This window comes from Homo sapiens, chromosome 4 (assembly GCF_000001405.40).
Source record: "Homo sapiens chromosome 4, GRCh38.p14 Primary Assembly".
Classification (NCBI taxonomy): Eukaryota; Metazoa; Chordata; class Mammalia; order Primates; family Hominidae; genus Homo; species Homo sapiens.
The window spans coordinates 94,892,180-94,912,064 of record NC_000004.12 but is presented as its reverse complement, the minus strand read 5'-3'; the positions used below and the strand labels follow the sequence as shown (position 1 = coordinate 94,912,064).

Genomic DNA, 19,885 nt, shown 5'->3' with positions numbered 1-19,885 from the left:
CCATGTAAGACAGGATGTGCTCTTCATTGCCTTCCACCATGATTGTGAGGCTCCCCTAGCCACATGGAACTGTAAGTCCAATTAAACCTCTTTCTTTTGTAAATTGCCCAGTCTCGGGTATATCTTTATAAGCAGCATGAAAAAGGGCTAATACAGTGTGTTAATCCACTTATATGTGGAGATATATCTGCTATAGAAACTAGATTGACCTTAGCAAATACACAAATTGGGCCTACTCCTATACCACTGCCCATGATCAAGAGTTATTGCCATGGGGAGCCACCATTACTAACAAGAGTGCTTTATATACCTTAGATGTACTGAAGCAGAAAGAAGGTTGAAAATACTGATTGTAATATCTCCAACTTTGAGATATCAGTTATCACGGCTTAATTTACATTCACTTGTGCAAATGATCATTAACTTCATAGTATATTATATTATCTCTTCAAATGATTTGGAACATATCATGAGGTCAGTAAAATTTTCTGAATTTCCAGAAACCACACTGAAGACCACAGCTACTAGAGGACTCCCGGAAACATAAAGCCCATGTACTGCAAACTCTGGGAAAATCAAGTTGCTTGTAGTTCTTAAATACACTGTATCTTGTGAAGCCATGGTATCTGAGAAGATCTCGCTGGCTTTCTTCCCCTCTGTTCCTGTCAGCCAACAAGCTTCTTCTATGTTTTAAAACACAGCTCAGGCATTACCACCTGGCAGCACACTTCTCCCCACATTGACTTCTAGATAAAGTTAATAATTGCTATGTCTTGCCCTTTTCACACTATGTTTTAATTTAATGGTTTATACATCAATTCCCTCTTCCAGATTCACTAAGATTGAGTTTCACTCATCTCTGTATCCTCAGTCTGGCACAAAGCCAGTAATATTTAGACTTTAAACTTTTGTGAATCAATGAATGAATGAGTAGTTTTCCTCAGCTCATCCCACTGTACAAAGAGAAGAAACTAGAATAGTTTTTATGAATACATTAGTATGTATCAAATATCCAAAAAAATAGGTCAAAGAAGTGAAAGCATAGTACAGTATATGTGGTTCACGTAAGTACTGGGTGAGTCAATTTAATAAGTCCTTTTTTATTCATAAGGATTTTTAAACTGAATTGTCTCAATTTTGGGGGGAGTGGGAAAAGACAGGGTCTCTTTCTGTTCCCCAGACTAGAGTTCAGTGGCACCATCACAGCTCTCTATAACCTCAAACTCCTGGGCTCAAGCAATCCTCCTGCCTCCGCCTCCTGAGCAGCTGAGACTACAGGTGTGCCACTATGCCTGGCTAATTATTTTATTTTTATTTTTTTAGAGATGGGGGTCTCGCTATGTTGCCTAGGCTGGTCTCAAACTTCTGGCCTCAAGTGATTCTCCTGCCTGGGCCTCTCAAAGTACTGGGATTACAGGCATAAGCCACCATACCTGGCCTGAAATTTTTAATATTGTAGTTTAATTTCACGGTACAATAGAAATAAGCAACTATGCCTAAAAAGCACACATTGACAAATTATACTGAACATCCAAACTTATGTTACTTAGCTTATCTTATAAATTACTTAGCTAGATTGAATCTTGCTTTTTGCCATTGCTCTCTAATAGCAGGAAAGAATTCAAGAGACTTCAATCTACTTCAATGAATACATCTGGAGTCCCTAGGTAAGTGCCAAGCACTACTATCACCTGAGACATGGTGTATTTTTTCCTCTAATTCTGAGAGGAAAAAATATTGCATGGGATAATATAAAATGAGGCAAACTTTAAAGCCAAATACTTCTAATGAGGCCAAAAGGTTTTCAGAAGAAAGATGAGAATATGTTGGCTTACCTCAGGGCCCCTTAGTTGCAATAAATCTACCTTAGTGTTGCAAGGCACACAACCTAAAAGTAATCTCAGAATCTTTAGTGTGAAGATGTCAGCAAAGGCTCCAGTGCTAGCCTTCAGAACAGATTTTAAACTAACTTTACGTATCTAGAATGTCTTTTAAAGGCTCTTTTTTTTTGTTTTTTTTGGAGACGGAGTCTCGCTCTTTTAAAGGCTCTTAAATATTACAAGAAAGCTTCTAATACAGTTTCCTATGAGGGTGTTGGCAAACAAAAATGCCACTTTGGGACCTAACTCAGAAATTCATTGTTTGAGCCACAGAAGTACCTTAAAGGGAAATATGAAAATTAATTAACATTCCAGGGATCCCATGTAACCACAGCCACCTGGAGACACAATAGGCCCCACAATCTCCAGCCATTCATCCGTGCAGTGGTTTCTGAGTGGTTTGGTCCAGAACTGACCCTGAAGGTGTGCAAAGCCTGTCTGCTCTACCATAGTATAACTCTTGTAACTTCTCACAAATAATTATAGTGAGAGGGAGAAACAACTAAATAACATGTAAAATCAGGAAGAGGGAGGAGGAGGGATGAAATAGGAGAAAGTTTTATCTCAGGCCTACTAAGCAAGAAGACCGACTATGACAGCAATTATCACTAACATGTTCCACTTTTTGCTGGGGATTGTTCTATGCACTTTACATATTTGGAATCTTTTCATCTTTACAAGAATTCCACAAAGTGGGCATCATTATTATCTCAATTTTGTACATGAGGAAGCTGAAAGCACAGAGCAACTACCTTACCCACGGCCACATACCCACAAGCAGCAGAGTCTGGCAATTGTTTTTCCAGGTTTCATACTCTTGCTTTTCCCTACAGCTGCCTTCCTGTTGGGTATTTAGCATAGATTAACCTAGTGAGTATATAGTAAGTTAGTATCCCCCAAAAGTTCATACTCACCCAGAACACAGGAAATAGAGTCTTCTCTATTATATTCCCAGACATAATTATATTCCCAGACTTAATTCATTAAGATGAGGTCATACTGGATTAGAATGGGCCCTACATTCAATGACTGCTGTCCTTAAGAGGAGAGGACACACAGAAATATACATAAAGAAAGCCATGTGAAAGCAGAGACTGGAGTGATGCAGCCACAAACCAAACACCACCAGTGATCACCAGGAGCTACCAGAAGCTGGGAAAAGGCAAGAAAGGATTCTTTCCTAGCACTTTTAGAGGGAGTATGGCCCTGCCAACACCTTCATTTCAGACTTCTGGTCTTCAGAATGGTGAGGAAAATTATTTTCTGTTGTTTTAAGACACCAAGTTTGTAGTAATTTCTTACGGCAGTCCTAGGACAGTGACACAGAGTAAGGTCATGAAGAGTCGATAAGAACTATGAACACGGAGACATTATTCAAGCAAAAGATAAGGGTTTTTATAATGTTTTTAAAGAGAAGATATCTGACTTCGGTGAATGCTTTAATGAGCCACCATTGGATTTGATGAAAAGTCCTGTCTTCAGCTGCAGATACCTATCAGTCTACCCTTTCTTCATGACCGAGTATTTGAAATTAATTACTCTCTATAATAAAAGGATTGAAGCTGATTAAAAACTGGGGAATCATTAATATAAAGATGGTACAGAGACCCTTAAAAAAGGGTGATATTACAGATCATTGATGTAGAAAAAGAAGAGATGTTGATAGGAATAAAACCTTAAGAAGCTCTACTGCTTAGAAGTTTAGGATGAAAAGCAAGCACAAGAGACGGGGCCACTGAGAGAAGAAAGATAACCAGGAGAGAAGAGCATCACAGAGATCATGCAAAAATAAAGTTTAAGAAGGACAGGTTTAAACAATGCTTACTGAATGAATTAATAGGAACCAAAAAAAAAACAATTTCAAATGTGATGTATAAAATATCAGACACATACACACTAACTAATATGTTAAATTTACCCTTACAAAATTCCATAATTCTGACATACTATCGAACCTTCTAATTCAGTGTAGAAAGTGCAATTCTTATGAAAAATATCTTCTTGTCTCCTGTTACAGGGCAACAACAGCTCAAATTTCCTCTACTTATTTGCTGTGGACCCTTCCCCAAGACCTTTACTTTTTTTTGTTTTTTCTTTTTTTTTTTTTTTTTTTTTTTTTTTTTAAAGACAGGGTCTCACTGCATTGCCCATGTTGGAGGGCCATGGCTATTCACAGGTAAGAGCATTGCACACTACAGCCTCAAACTTCTGGCCTCAAGCAATGCTCCCACCTCAACCTCCCAAATATCTGCGAATACAGGTGCATGCCACCACACCTGGCTTAAGACTTTTTACCTTTTAATTTATAGAGACCTCAGACATGTACATTCATATTCATTTTACTACTAGATAGAAAAAGGAGTATTAAATTAGGCACTGAGGACACAGAGGTTTCCCAGGCTAGTATACAAGTTGGCATCTCTTCACTGAATGAATTAATAGATTAATGACAAACACATACAAGCAAACCGTAACAAATAGGAATATTTTTACATGCAACGATACACACATGATAACAACATGCTATGGACTCTAGGGTGCCGTGGAGTTAGCCTCTAACTCTACCTAGAGGTTCTGGTAAGGGCTTCCCTGAGACAGAAGGCATTTCTTGATTTACATCTTAATAGACGAGTTACTGAGGCAAAAGGGGAATGGAGAAGAGAGGAGCTTTGGACAGACAGAAAGGACCGAGCATATGCACAGGCATTACCTTATTTGCTGCCTGAGTGCTGAACTGAAAGCTCCTAACATAGAACAGACAACCAAATAAATATTGCCTGTTTAATGAACTCTTCAAAAATGGATAATGTTGATTCCTGTTAACATAGCATGATTCCCTTTCACCTGTTATAGGCAATGCCATTCTGGGTCAAAAACAAAAAGATGCCTTTCTCTCCTTTAAAACAGTAGCATTGCCAATGACGTATTTCTAGGGTTTATGGTATAGTCAATGCCTCTTCATGAAAGGAGTGTGTCAGAATACACTGAGAAGCTTTTCCACGATGCACTTATCCAGCTACCACCTCCAAAATTCTAAAGTAACACATCTAGGATAAAGCATAGGCATGTGCATTCTGATTGTTCTATTGCACATCCCACAGTTACTGATCTGAAGCTGAGAACTGTGATGTACACATTTATGCTGAGAAGTACTCAAAAGTGATAGCAATGAAACATTCTGAGATATCTATATGGAGACAGGAAGAATAATCCCTACAGAGAGATAATCCAAGAGTTGCTCTACAAAACCCATAAATTAACTCAATTATAATAGTTATAATATAAATGATCTTGTTTGTGTTAAGGAGCCAAAATTATGAGTTATTCATAGTCATTAGGAACTGTTTTTAAACTATAAGCTAATTATAAAAACTATAGTTTTCAAACTGTTAGCTAATTACTCTTTGCATTAGTAATCAGTAGTCTTCACTACCCTAAATATATGATTGTCTTCAAGTGTTTACTTCAACAATCTATCAGGCCAAGGAGATACAAAATGAAAGGATGCATCTTTCTTTTTCTATTATTATTATACTTTAAGGTCTGGGATATATGTGCAGAACGTGCTGGTTTGTTACATAGGTATATATGTGTCATGGTGGTTTGCTGCACCCGTCAACCCATCATCTAGGTTTTAAGCCCCACATGCATTAGGTATTTGGAAAGGATGCATCTTTCATAAATGAACAGTCAGGAAGACTACTGGCCAGTCATAAAATGTTTTTACTTTAGGGCTGTTGCCCCTTAAGAGTGAATACTTTATGTGTTTGTTTTTTCCCCATATAAGACACGAATAAATGTGTGGTCTGAAATGCATCAGTATTCAGACTGCGCTTTTGACATAACAAAAGTAATAAGTACCATGCAAAACAAAAAATGGTTTTAATTTTAATTTGGTCTCCAAGGGCATTTTCAAGGCATGTACCCATACAGATTTTCAAATCAACTAGACTTAACTCTAAACTGGCTGACTTACCCAATATATCAACAGAAAGAAAATATCAATCTAAGGAGCTATTTATCTTTAGCAGCCAGGAAAAAGTAGAGTCATTGGAGATAATGTGAATTATATCCAAACACTATTCACAGAAGAAAAATCTTGGCTGAGCAGGAACTAGGAGTCTCCTTGACAAAAACAGAACAAACCTTAGAAATACTTCTTTAAAATCATCATTACTTTGTTCATCTTATTATCCATTAATTACTCCTTTGTAGCTTGATATTTTCCTAAAGGAAAATAAATGTCTATTCGTGACAAAAAAAAAAAAAAGAATAAACAAAAGAAGAATTCCACTATTTAAATGTTAAAATACATCACTGTTCTCTTAGTAAAAGTTCCAAATTTTCCATCAAGATAAAGAAGTAAATGCAAAGAAAATCAGAGAGACAGGGATACTGTCCTGCCCACCACAAGCCCAGCAGTGATAAAGTTAGCCTCTAGTTAAGCCATAGAAGCCAGAGGTAGGCAGGCATCCTGTGTGAGACGTCCTGAGTATCACAGCTGCCAGGCTATGCAAAGGAATGCAGAACGTGCAACAAAATCCCAATGACAGCCGGTGTCTTTGGGGTACAATACATAATGAAATTTATTAAAAGGGAAAATGTTTAAAGAACATTATGTAAATGTAAGATCTGAGTAGTCAAAAAAAGCCTTAAAAAGCCTTATTTTCATAAAACTCAACTTGACAGAAAATATAGATTATTTTTCACTGATTAAGCTGTAAAAAATATTCAGTTATTAAGAGCTGTTTTTAAACTATAAGCTAATTATAAAAACTATAGTTTTCAAATTGTTAGCCATTACTGTTTGCATTAGTAATCAGTTGTCTTCACTACAGAAGCAATACCAAATGGCAATAAGGTCTACATGTTCTAGATAAAATTTAAATTGGGATATTTGCTATGCCTGTCTAAAGCAGTCCAGTGAAAAATAAAACATAATTTGCTATTTTTTGAATAAAAGCAAGAAAATTCATTTAAATTAATTCATGCTATTAGGCCAGGTAAGAAATTCATCATGCCTTTCTAACCATCTTGATCATCTTAAACTAAAAGAAAATTTTCCCCATCTTTGGACAATATCTGTAAAGGAATTCACAAACAGAATATGACTTAAATGAAGACATCTATTTTCAAATAATTTATCCAAAACAATTCTCATGGTGTTTGCCAAAAATAGAAATTATTTAAAGCTTCCAAGACTTTTAAAGCTCAGAGTTATTGAAAAGAGAATCCTTAAAATTTAGGGCAGACCATTTCATAAAATACTGCTTTTATTTTCTTGTGGCATTTAAAGTATACACATAGAATGCTGAGGGATGATGAAGAAAAACAAATGATAGGAGTGCAATATTCCAAGTTCGTTTTTCTCGACATTTACTATGTTGTGGAATAAAGCAAGCCAATGCTAAAAAGTGAGTAGGTTCAAAACCAATCTTTTTCATATATAAGTTTTTTACAATGTAATATATTTTAAAACCTCAGAGAACTTACCTCCACAATTGCTACCACAGAAAATTATGTTGCTCATCATTGATTAGCACATCTTTCATTTTAGAATAAGCAAAAGAATGTTTCACAACTGAACAAAGGTTTACAGTCTTTGATTTCTCTTACAGGTAATTCACAAATCACCTGAGGTGGCTGAATTAAAACTAACACAGCTCATTACTGCAAAAGCAATGCCATAAATAATATTCACCAATAACTTAAGTAAGGGATAAGTAATTTCAGCAAATTTAATATTCTGAATCCCTATCTGCTATCACATTAATATATATTGTTTACCACTTCTTAGAATAACAGACTAACATTAACATTAAATCTAGCTGAAAGGGCAAAGTGCCTGAATGGTATTAGTACTTCAAAGTCACTATTATAGGCATTAATTATTATTATTATAGTGCATCTGTAAGTCATATGACTACACAGACATTGAAATGTTCTTATGCAACGGAACGCATTTCTACAGCAAATCATTGATGTCAGATTGCTATCTAATGATATGATGTGTACCAATTGTTTAAAATATAAAGAATGACACAAACATGAAGTATTATTGTATGGAATACACATTTGAAATTTTTTAACTTCCTGAAAATAAGAATTCCATATCATCATAAGATATAAAGGAGATGTTACTGTCTATTAAAATGTAGGTTTATAAAATAAAAGAGGGATGTGTACATATTTATTCACTTCACTAAGTGTATTAGTTTGCTAGGGCTGCTGTGACAAATACCACACATTGGATGGCTTAAAGAACAGCAATTTATTTGCTCACTATTCTGGAGGCTGGAAGTCTGGGATCAAGGTGTCCACAGGGCTGCTTTCTTCTGAGGCCTCCCTCCTTGCATTGCAGATGGCTGTCCTTTCTGTGTGTTTTCACCTGGTCCTTCCTCTCTACTGTGTCCTAACACCTTCTTCTTATAAGGACACCAGTCATACCGGATTAAGGCCTACCCCCAATGACTTCATTTAAACCCAATCACCTCCTTAAAGACACTATGTCCAAATACAATCACATTTTAATTTCAACGTATAAATTATAAGGGATATAATTCAGCCCATAACACTAAGCATCTGCTGTATAAAATTCATAACCGAATTCTTTTAAAAATACTGGACCACAGAAACATCTTAAAAGATTGTCTTTTTAAAAAAAAAAAAAGTAAGTAATATACAACTTTACAAGAATATAAATTTTTATGGAAGTAATTTGTCCTTATTTTTTCAAAAAGACTTTTGAGGCAATTTACATGATTAAGAATTAAATAGAGCAGCAACAAGAACAAAAGCAAACACAGAAATCAGAAACTATAGACACTATAGAGACAGGAGTATAATAAGTTCATTCTTTTCTGTCTGATCGAATACTAAACTTAACTAAACTAACTGGGACTCGGGGATAAAAAAGGGGGTAAGGGGTTAAATTGAATTCTTACTTTTCAAACAAAGGTAGCTGACAAACTTGTTCAGAAAAATACACTTTGCCCTAAGTTCTAGAAGGCAAGTAAGGAACAGATTAATATAGAAGCATCTAATTAATTTCTATGCCATAACTTTATTTTGCATATAATATGCACTTAGTCATGCTACATACATAAACTAACAGGCTATGAAAAAGCACTCATTCTTTATCCATTTATTTCTTCATTCAACAAATATTACTGCACCCTGCTATGTGCCAAGCATTACACACTGGTGAAGCAGAGATCAAAACCTAGCCCTCACAGAGCTTCTGTTCTAGTGAACAGAGCATACTTGGAGAACATCAAGATTGAATTCAGTAGTCTGCAGAGACTGAATTGAGAATAAGCAAAACAAAGAAAACATTTCCGGTTACACTCTCAACCATTCCATCATTAAAGTGAAGATGAGTACAGCAGAGATTAGCAAAGGAGACTGCAAGGGTTTAAAGTTTGTCCTTTCTTCAAAATAGTAAGTTAATTTTAAATTTAATATATTCAAAGAGATATGAAATTCCCAACATATGTATTAAGCAATAACTCAAAGATTAAATGATTCTACTTTGTATAGAACAGACTATATCTTAAGCTGTTTAATACTTCAGAAAAAAACAGAAAAATTCAGAAATATTTACTAAATATTAACATTTTGCTATTTAGGCTTCAGAATGTTTACTTTTGTCAGAAAGAAAATGTTCTAGATAATAGCTAAAACACTACCACTAAGTGCTGCCATCATCCTTCTCACTCTCTTCCTCTCTAGAGATAAATAATTTTCAGAATATAATTTCATTCAGGTTTTTTGTTTTAATATGTGTGAATGCCTAGATATAACAGACACAATTGTGTTCTGTGGGCCAAACTTTTACATAAATGGCATTATATTACATGAATTATTTCCAGTTTGTTTTTTTCCCCATCTTCTCTCTCTCTCTCTCTCTCTCTCTCTCTCTCTCTCTCTCTCTCTGTGTGTGTGTGTGTGTGTGTGTGTGTGTGTGTGAATTGAATTTCCATTGATACAGGTATAAATATAATTCATTCACTTCAACTGCTATATTCGCAGCATAAACTTGTGTGTTATTAATTACTCAAGAGAGGGATAGTCAAGTTGTTTCCTTTAAATACACCCCACACACACACACACACACACACACACACACACACACACACCATGCAGTCTGCAGAGCCCTCTTAACCAGTCTATTGTTGAAATGAACCAGAGTATGTATAGCAGAGATCAGATATATCTTCATATGAATATATACCTATGTGACTATATGTCTAATCTTTGCTATACTCCATTTTGTACACACACATATACAAGTAGTACAATGAACACTCTGGTGCAAGTGTTCTTGCCCATGTTCAGGAGAAGAGTCCCTCCAGGGCAGATGCATAGCTATGGAAGTGTTGGGTCAGAGGATACACACATTTTCTGCTTTACAGGGAACTGTCGAATTGCTTTCCCAAGAGAAAGAAAAGAATTCCTCTTCTGCCATATTCAGGCCAACTTTGGAGATATCAGATATCAACTATTTTTTTGCCAATTTGACGGGTTTAAAGGGATATTTCATTGTTGTTTTAATTTGTATTTCCTAGGTTATAGACAAGCTTTTGAACTGATTAAGTCAATTTCAGGGAAGTGAATACATGGTCAAGAATATCTCTCAGTCATGTTAAATATAGTCTAAATCTTCAAGGTCGTTCTCTGTATGTTCTCACCACACTCAACTGCCAGCAGTAATAAACTGCCATCCGGTCTCTCGGGCCCTCTCAAGATCTGAAAACAAAGATCTAACAATATTTTAGGCACTCCTTCTCCACAAGGAAGGAGTCTTATTCTGACTGAGATCTAAGAATAGCCTATTAGAAGATTTTACATCATGTTGCACCATTTAAACAAAATTTTCACAAAACAATGCTTATCCTTACAGGTGAGGCATTCTGATATTTTCGATTTTACTGTATTTTAATCTATGTATTTGCTAGTTGAAACCCACTATATTGATGTCATGACCCCATTAATAGGTCACAACACTCAATTTGGAAACATTAAATCTCTTCAATGACCAATGTACCCAGGAAGCAGAGAATACTTGTTTGAGTTTCAACCTATGAGCTGAGGGCCCCTACCAACCCTGCACAAAGTATTAACAGAAAAGGACACCTAACTGGCCCTCTGCCCAAGGGGTTCCAGGGTTGGAACCATCAGTGTTACAAGACCTTAGTCTACTTTTCAAATGGATGTGCAAAGCTTAGCATCACGGGAGGTCTGACACTCTTGGGGCATATTTTTTGGGCAACTTTATTTGGTGCTTTTTGTTTTCAGGTTGGTTTTTGCTTTACTGTTTGGTAAACTGTCTCAAAGATTCCAGAGATATGGGTGAGGACTATGTATTTTTAAAACATCTAGAAGTATACCCTTTTTTGGTAAGTTATTTGGGTTCCCAAGATTTGCCATAACAAAATTAACAAAATTGTTTCCACACCCCTAAAAAGTAATCAAATTGCTTACTACTTGATATTCTGACTATTCAAATAATACAGACAGCTTCTATGCTGTCCCAACTTCTGCCTCAAATAACATATATATCTGTACTCTTGAACAAAATAATCAGGTTTAGGACTTATTTTAAATTGCTTTTGTTAACTTTCCTTATTCTGAAACTCTGCCCTTGTTTTTAATACACTTGCATTGTATTTAGCTGAGACTAGGCATTGAAAATTTCTGAAGTCATCATCATATTTGTATGTACAAATTAAAACTTAAATTGTGCCTTTACAATTTTGCATTTACAAATACAGAACTTAACACTCTGATTAACATGTAAAATGTTCTTAAAACTTATTTCTGTTAGGCTATTTTTTTTTTTTTTTTGCTGGCCACTTTATCCTCTATTTCCATGTTACCGGATGCTATGTAAAAATACACCATCCAGCTAATTGACATCTTAGGTTCAAGTTATACACAAAGCCAGCACTGAAGCAGATTTGGGAACCTAGCGCATTACACTGTGGTGTCTTTCTAAAATGTGCATGCACTCAGCATGGAATGTTATGACTGGATAAGTTACAGGTTTCCAAATTAAAAAAAAAAAATCCTGTTTTCATTCCAATCTTGTTTATGCAAAGATTCTGAGGATTAGAACTGGCAGGTTATTTCTAACCCTTGCCTTTTCTCCCACCTTCTTTAAGTTCCTCTCTCTTGCTGCAAATCTAGAAGTGACAACCTGCTATTTTCTAGAACTGTACGGTGGTAATTCGAATAGCAAGCTCTGTGCCTGGTATAGATTGTCAGAAATATATACCTGAAACTATAATTGTACCATGTGTGGGCGAACAGGGAAACTTAGTTGACATCAACAGTATTTATAGGGAGAAAACATGCTCAGTTTAATTCCAGTACAGACATTCCCATTTCAAAAGGAAAAGTTTTAATTTCCTCCTTAACTTTGACAGTGGCTATAATAAATTTTCTCAAATTTTCATGAATTTGAATTAGGAAATTTCACGTTTCTAATGAAAACTTTCTTAAACACCAGTTATAAAACATCAACGCTTCTTTTGCTGCATCTCAAAAAATAGAAATATACCACATTTAACAGGAGGTCATATATTACTAGGAAGAGATAATACTATCGGAAGCCTTCACATCTTTATATTCATATTTGCACTTCATATTCAACCATATAATTTCCCAGAAGTGTCATATAAATCATATATATATGATTTATATATAATATATATGATTTAAATATATATGTGTGTGTGTATGTGTGTGTGTATATATATACATATATGATTTAAAGAAAATCCAAAGCATTAGTCAAACTATCTTACTCATCTTTGTAGTGGCCTGAAAAGTTGTAGTGGCCTGAAAAGTCAGGTCCTAATGGCTGGTACCTGTAAGTGTTATGTTATTTTAAAAAAGAGTTTGTGGAGATGTGATTAGATTAAGGATTTTGTGGTGGGAAGACTATCCTAGATTATCCACATAGGCCCTAAATGCCACCACGTGTCCTCATGAGAGGGAGGCAGAGGGAAATTGCACACACAGAAGAAGAGAAGGTAATGTGACCAGAGAGGAAGAGACTAGACCGATGCAAACCACAAGCCAAGGAATGCCAGCAGCCACCAGAGGCTGGATAAGGCAAGGAATGAGTTACCTCCTAGAACATCCAGGGGTTGCACAGCCCTGCTGACACCTTGATTCCAACTCAGGGACAACGATTTTGGACTTTGGTCTTCCAGAACTATGAGAGAATACATTTCAGTTGTTTAAATCCACTAAATTTGTGTAATTTGTAACAGCAGCTTCAAGAAATTAATACAACTATACAAGCTATTACCTCAGGATAATGTACTGAACTTTCTGATTACATTAATAAATTTGAGAGAGAGGGACCCACAACCACTTGAGAGAAATGAATGATCCTATTTTAGTGTGCTGGAGAGTCTGAGAAGTATTTTTGAAAGAACCAGGCCTAGAAAAATGAAGTGTTTAAAGTGTATATTAGTCTGTTCTCATACTGCTATGAAGAAATATCTGAGACTGGGTAATTTACAAAGAAAAGAGTTTAATTGACTCACAGTTCCACATTGCTGGGAGGCCTCAGAAAGCTAACAATCATGGTGGAAGAGGAAGCAAACACGTCCTTCTTCACATGGTGGCAGGAAAAAGAAACGCTGAGCAAAGGAGAGGAAAGCCCCTTGTAAAACCATCAGATCTCATGAGAAGTCTCTCGCTATCCCCAAGAACAGCATGGGGGAACTGCCCCCATAATCTAATCATGTCCCATGAGGTGCCTCCCGTGACAAGTGACGATTATGGGAACTACAATTCAAGATGAGATTTGGATGGGGGCAAGCCAAACCATATCAAAGTGTCAGAGCCAAGAAGAGAATATCTAGTCTAAGTAGCAAATTTAAACTACATTTAAAATCTTTCAGAAAATAACTTGTCAGGACTGCACTTGGTAGCTCATGCCTGCAATCTCAGCCCCTTGGGAGGCTGAGGAAGGAGGACAGCTTGAGGCCAGGAGTTAAAGACCAGCCTGGGTAACATAGTGAGACTCCCATCTCTAGAAAAAAATTTTTAAAAAACAATCCAAGTATGGTAGCATGCACGTGTAGTCCCAGCTATTCAGGAGGCTGAGGTAGGAGGGTCCCTTGAGCCTAGGAGTTTGAGGTTGCAGTGAGCCATGACTGTGCCACTGCACTCAGCCTGGGCAACAGAGAAAGACCCAGTCTCAAAAAAAAAAAAAAAAAAAAAAAAGGAAAAGAATTTGTCAGTAATTATCAAGAGCATTAAAGTACTCCTACCCTTGGACTCAGTAATTTTGTTGCTAAGAACCAATACTAAGAATATATACCCAAATCAGATCAAATCTTATAAATTAAGATGTTCCTCTCATAACACACACCTCATAATATCAAAAACTAGAAACAATCTAAACATCCAAGTATAGAAGAGCTAAGTAAGCCACAGTATGTCTTCTTGGCTGAACATCTTATACATCTATCAAAAATAATGTTTACAAAAAATCTGGACCAAAACAAAAAAACCCTTATGTTATACTATTACATGTACAAAGCAACATACAGAAGAACATGTACATTATTGCCTTTCTCATTTAAAATTCATAGAAAAAAAGAAATATGTAAGATTATAGCTAACTTTTTCTTTATTTCAATTCTTTTAACAGTTTACTAAGTTACACCAGATACTCGGTGGTAAGCGAGGACTACAAAAGGGTAATTGGCAGATGCAAATGCTCCAATTTTCTGGGTGAATGAAAGACAGAAGAACAGTACCTTAACAGCCAAAATTCCCAAATGCCTTTCAATGCATCGCATTATCTATAATGATTTTGAATATCCATGAGTCACGCGGGAATAGATAACACTATCGCTTATTTACATTGGGAGCACCCAAGGCACAAAAGGTTTCGGAGTCCACGCAGGGTCATCCTATATAAGCAGGAAGAGCTGGGACAGAAGCCAAGTCATGTCATTCCAGACTGGGGCTTTAATCCCCCTTTCCAAGGTGATGGTGCAGCAGCAGGGCCAGACCTTGTCATGGAGAGCAGGCAGCTCTTCTTATCAGAGAGCTTCAGAAAAACAAGGTCAAGGCCTCAAACCCACTCTGACTGGCGGATATTTACATATGCAAAGCCTGTGAGGAAAAATATCTCAGGCTTCCCTAGGATCCTTTCAGATTCATGAACAAGCCAAAGTATAAATAAATCATACTTTCATAAATGTTGCCTACTAAACATACAGTAATCATAAATACTATGGAGATACTAAATCTTTCAAAGCAGTACCCTCTATTCATTTCACTTATTTTTGATTCAGGATATAGTTTATATTAACTTATTGATCCAAGCCTCTCCTTACAATAGGGTCTTACTTTGGCACTTAATCATTTTCTAAAATAGTCACATATTCTAAGAGCCAATAATTTTCTACAAAGGCTTGCTTATACCTGTATTTTCACTTTTAGGAACAAATGAAAAAATAACTCCTGCAAAAGTCTACCTAAAAACATGCAAAAAAAGTTATAATTACAAATTGGGTTTCTTTCAAAATGTTTACATTTTCATTCAGGATTATAGAACCAATTCATAGGTATTTTATATTTATACATATGCTCTAGGGAGCTCTATTTTTTTACACTGTTTTGAGCTTGAGAAGTTCCCAGCATTAACATATAATCAAAGAAATTACATAATTAACTGGTGAAAAAAGGATCATAGTCAAATTCAAGCTAATTTTCAACTTTCAGATTTAATTCAGCAAACTCAGGGTATTAAAACATTAATCACATAAAGTCATCTCTCAAATGTTAATAAAAATCTTCATTCTCAAATATTTTTCTGTACTGAAACAGATACTTTGATCATCAAGCCTAGATTTAACTGTCAAAAATAATGTACTCTTGGGCTACGTATATATGCACAGACTTATATATGACTAATTTGAGAAGTTACATCAACTTCAACAAAGCAACAAGAGGATAAACTTTTTTCAAACTCCTAAAGAAAGATATTATTCATTTTCACCCTTTGAGTTAGTATTAGCAAAGATATATTTTTACAAATCCCAAAAGAGCTTTTAACTAGGAGTACGTCATTGAACGAAAAATAAATCTGTAGAAGTAGAAAGTTTTACTGCTATCCTTGCTAAAAGATTGCTAGTTACACCTAAAAAGTCATACTGGTGAGAAAGTTCACAAAAAGTGTATTAAATATATATGTATATTTGTGTCGCCAGAAGAATTTAACTCAAATGCTAACAGAAGCTCTCTCAAGACATCCTAAAGATAGCCATACATTGGTTAGTTTCCTTTCCTTTTATCACTTGTGTGTTTGTATCACAGTTTTAGCATTAACTAAAGCATCTAGTCTGATCACTTCCATCTATTTTAGAATACTAACAAGATGATTCTAATAACCAAACAAAAAGAAACATGAGTTTAGAAAAAAATTCTAATTGTTTTGTTTAATAATTATATGCTATATAGAGCCTATTTTTAAAAAAAAAAAGATGTCACACACCTCATAAATACCAAGATATTTCTTAATAATTATTTTGAAGTGTCATAAGTTCACATTTAACAAATGAATTGCCTCTAACATACCAAAATCAAAATAATTTTTCTTCATTCAACTGCCTATTAGAACAATTCTTAAAAGAACCTGAATATGTAATTTAACAACAGAGCTGAAGTGCAGCAGGCTGAGACTTCTTCATGAATTGGTTTTTAGAATACTAGATACGTTTGTCTAAAATCTCCAAGGTTTTGTTAAAAAAAAGACAAACATTTCCATTTTCTCATAGATTATAAATCAAAGAAAAATTTAAGGCAGCTATATAAACAGTTCACTGACTGCATCTGTTGTGAAAGACACAATGATGTCTAATGTAGAGCATTTAGCCTATTCACCTCTGTGCTGCCATCTTTGAATAAACACGTCTTAAAGCACCATTAATCCAAGCAATGAGGGACATTTTTCTTTCAAGAACAAACACATTTTCAACTTTGGACTAGCCATACAACTGTAAAATCAAGCAGAAAAAAGAATTTTGTGATACTTGTTTACATTAAAAGTTGAACATGGTACTATCAAGTCTCTCCAACGTGAAGATGCATTGAAGAACTTAAGAGACATTAATATTAACTATTTTCTTCTCTACTGTTATTCTTCTGTATCATGGTACTTGCAGAATAACTTTTCTGCCTAATACTCAGAGAACCCAAAGGAGGAAATTAGTAGTTTCATCATGAATTTAAAACAACTTTAAAAATCAAATAGTGATCAAAGGAACTTATGTTATTTATACAGCCATTTAAAGAAGTATGTTAAGATGTGAAAGAAAAAAAAAACAAACTAGCATACAGAGCTGCTTCTCTCAGTATTCAGCGCCCAAGAAAACCAAGTCTGAAGAAATACAACAAGTTTACTTTCCTCAAATAATTCCAAACTAACAAAAAATCAAATCAACAATTCCCTTTTAGAAAAATGATCAAAAGATATCTCAGGGAAAATAAATGCCTAGTTTTACAAATATCTTTTAAACCGTTCTATTGGGAACAATATGCAAAATAGAGTATTCTCAAAAGGAAATCCTTAAAAAGTCAATCCTTTAAAATAAAATAAGGAAAAAATGTGGACCAAGATCAGATATCACAACATTGCCCTGAGACTATATGGAAACTCCTATGTAAATGGTAATTAGGGATTTCTCGCTTTCTCTCTCTCTCTCTCTCTCTCTTTTAAAGGCCATAATGGCTATGTTTGTTGAGGGAAAAAAGGTGGGGAAAGAAGGTATAAATGCTTACTGTTTAAGAAAAGCTGGTCTGTGCCAATATATTGGAGAAACTATTCAAGAACAGTTGATCTATGTGAAAATGTAACCCCTGAAATGTTGCCAAGGTCACAGAGACCCAGGGTGATCTCCAACACACAATGAGTACCATTTGTGTATTTGTAAAGAGCACTTGGGTAGTGGGTTATTTTTGCATTATGCATCTCGTTGGAAAAAAGCATGGAAAAGAAAATGCAGACTGGTTGTGCTTTTACAGTATTTCATTTCACTATCCTTCCTATGGGGTAACTAAAATATTAGCAGTGCCCTGCTTATGAGATATATGTGATCCCTTTCAAGGTGGGCGTTAGCAGCAGTGTTTTTAAGTGAAATACGAGAGCAACATTACAATTTCCAAATTCAATTTCAATAATTACATTAACATGACAAGTTTCTCAAGAACTGCCAAGGACAACAAAACTGAACTGTTTACCTTGAGTAGCACATTTCACTGTGGGACTCAAATTTTATACCACAGCCCACTTTATGTTGTTATCCATTTCAAACACTGCCACGCAGCAGTGGGTTCTCTCCACCATTTCCACCTTTTTGTTTGTTTGTTTGTTTGTTTAATATCATCCATTTACATTTTGCCTTCTACTGGTGGTTCTCAGAACACCATTTTATAGGAATGGAAAGGCACCAAGAAATTTCACCTCAAGTCATGTGAGACTGCAGCTATAGAACGCACAAACCCAGTTCCTGAGTGTTGAATAAGGAACATTTCTCTCTCACTGATTAGAGAAAGCCAATTTAAATTTCTCTTTATATGAGAAAGAACCAGCCAGTCTTTATTAGCATGGTACTAAAATGTGTGTCCCAAATTTGTGAAATTTTTAAAAAAAAGAACAAGAGAAGTCATATTTTCTCTAAGAACATATGCACGTATTTCTTCTTGGGAAGCCCATACACAACATGGGGAAGAGTCCACTTCACACAAATTTGCTTTCTAATATTTAAAAGGCATTGAGGTAAAGCCTCATTAAGAAAGACGGAAATGGTCCATTACTACAGACAGAGAAGGCCTTTCCTGGGATGGACTATAAACACTAAGTGCAAAGTCTAGAGCCAAAGGAGAATGTTAGGTTTGCAAGTCTGCCTCTTCCAGAAGGAGAAAATATTATTTCAGATGTTATGACTCATTATTTTTCATTTTTTAATCTTTTCATGTTTTATATTCATTTATATTATAAAGGAAGATTTTTATTTTAAGCATATTTCACATTATATTTTCCTTTTGCTAATACAAGTTAGTGACACTATACCAAAAAAAACCTAAAATTGTTCTTATAATCATTAACAACAATTTAAATGTACTGAACTTCATAGTGCTAGATTTTTTGCTCCTGCAATCTTCATGAAAACCCTGCAGGACTGATATCCCCACTTTACAGATGAACAAACTGAAGCTCAGAATATAAAATTACTCAAACTGAACTCCAAAGTTCGTTATCCCACATTTCCTCAGGAAATAGTACATTCACATACCATTGACAAAATGCATTAAAATATACAAAACTTGAGTTGGAAGCTTACCTAATAAATTGTAAAAGATTTTCAACAAACTACACCTCTACTAATTCACCTACTCAAAAGCTGATAGTTAAATGAAACCTGAGAAAATGATCTGGGATATTTCTCCATCTCTCACTAAACAAATGCTTGTGGGTCTTTAAAGGTCCAGTTCAAGTATCACATCTTCTGTAAAGTCTCCTTACTCTCCATACCAATAGAATTACTTCTTTACTGGGTTATAGAATTTATTTAATGATTAAACATGACTAAATATTACCCTTTTTTTGGTCTTCAGCTCCCGGTACAGTACATCATACTTGTTCAATAAATCCTTGTGTTCAATAAATGCTTGTTAAAAGTATATATGAACAAACAACAGCTCAACTATGAGATCAGATAAAATCTCATCTCACATAATTATAACTACAAGTTAAATCTTGTATTAAAGCTCCTCTAACTTTAACACGTATATAAATCACGTGGAGATCTTATTAAAAGGTAGATTCAGATTCAGTGGGTCTGGGGTGAAACGTGCATTTCCAGTAAGCTCACAGCTGGTGGCACTGCTGTTGGTTCCCAGACCAACCACCCTGTGGGTAGCAAGAACGTAATCTACTGGGACAACACATTCCAGACTTGGTGAATTGTTTA

At 35.3% G+C, this 19,885-nt stretch overlaps 1 protein-coding gene across 6 annotated transcripts in view; it reads right to left on the bottom strand.

The window, feature by feature from the left end:
* Positions 1-19,885, bottom strand: part of BMPR1B (bone morphogenetic protein receptor type 1B) — a 400,496-nt gene that overhangs the window by 246,386 nt on the left and 134,225 nt on the right. Inside the window, exon 3 of one of the 6 annotated variants that reach the window (XM_017008559.2) lies at positions 13,015-13,101. The exons of the other annotated variants lie outside the window; for them this stretch is intronic. The gene's annotated coding sequence lies outside the window, so the exon portion shown is untranslated. The remainder of the gene's footprint in view (positions 1-13,014; positions 13,102-19,885) is intronic. 6 annotated transcript variants of the gene reach the window in all.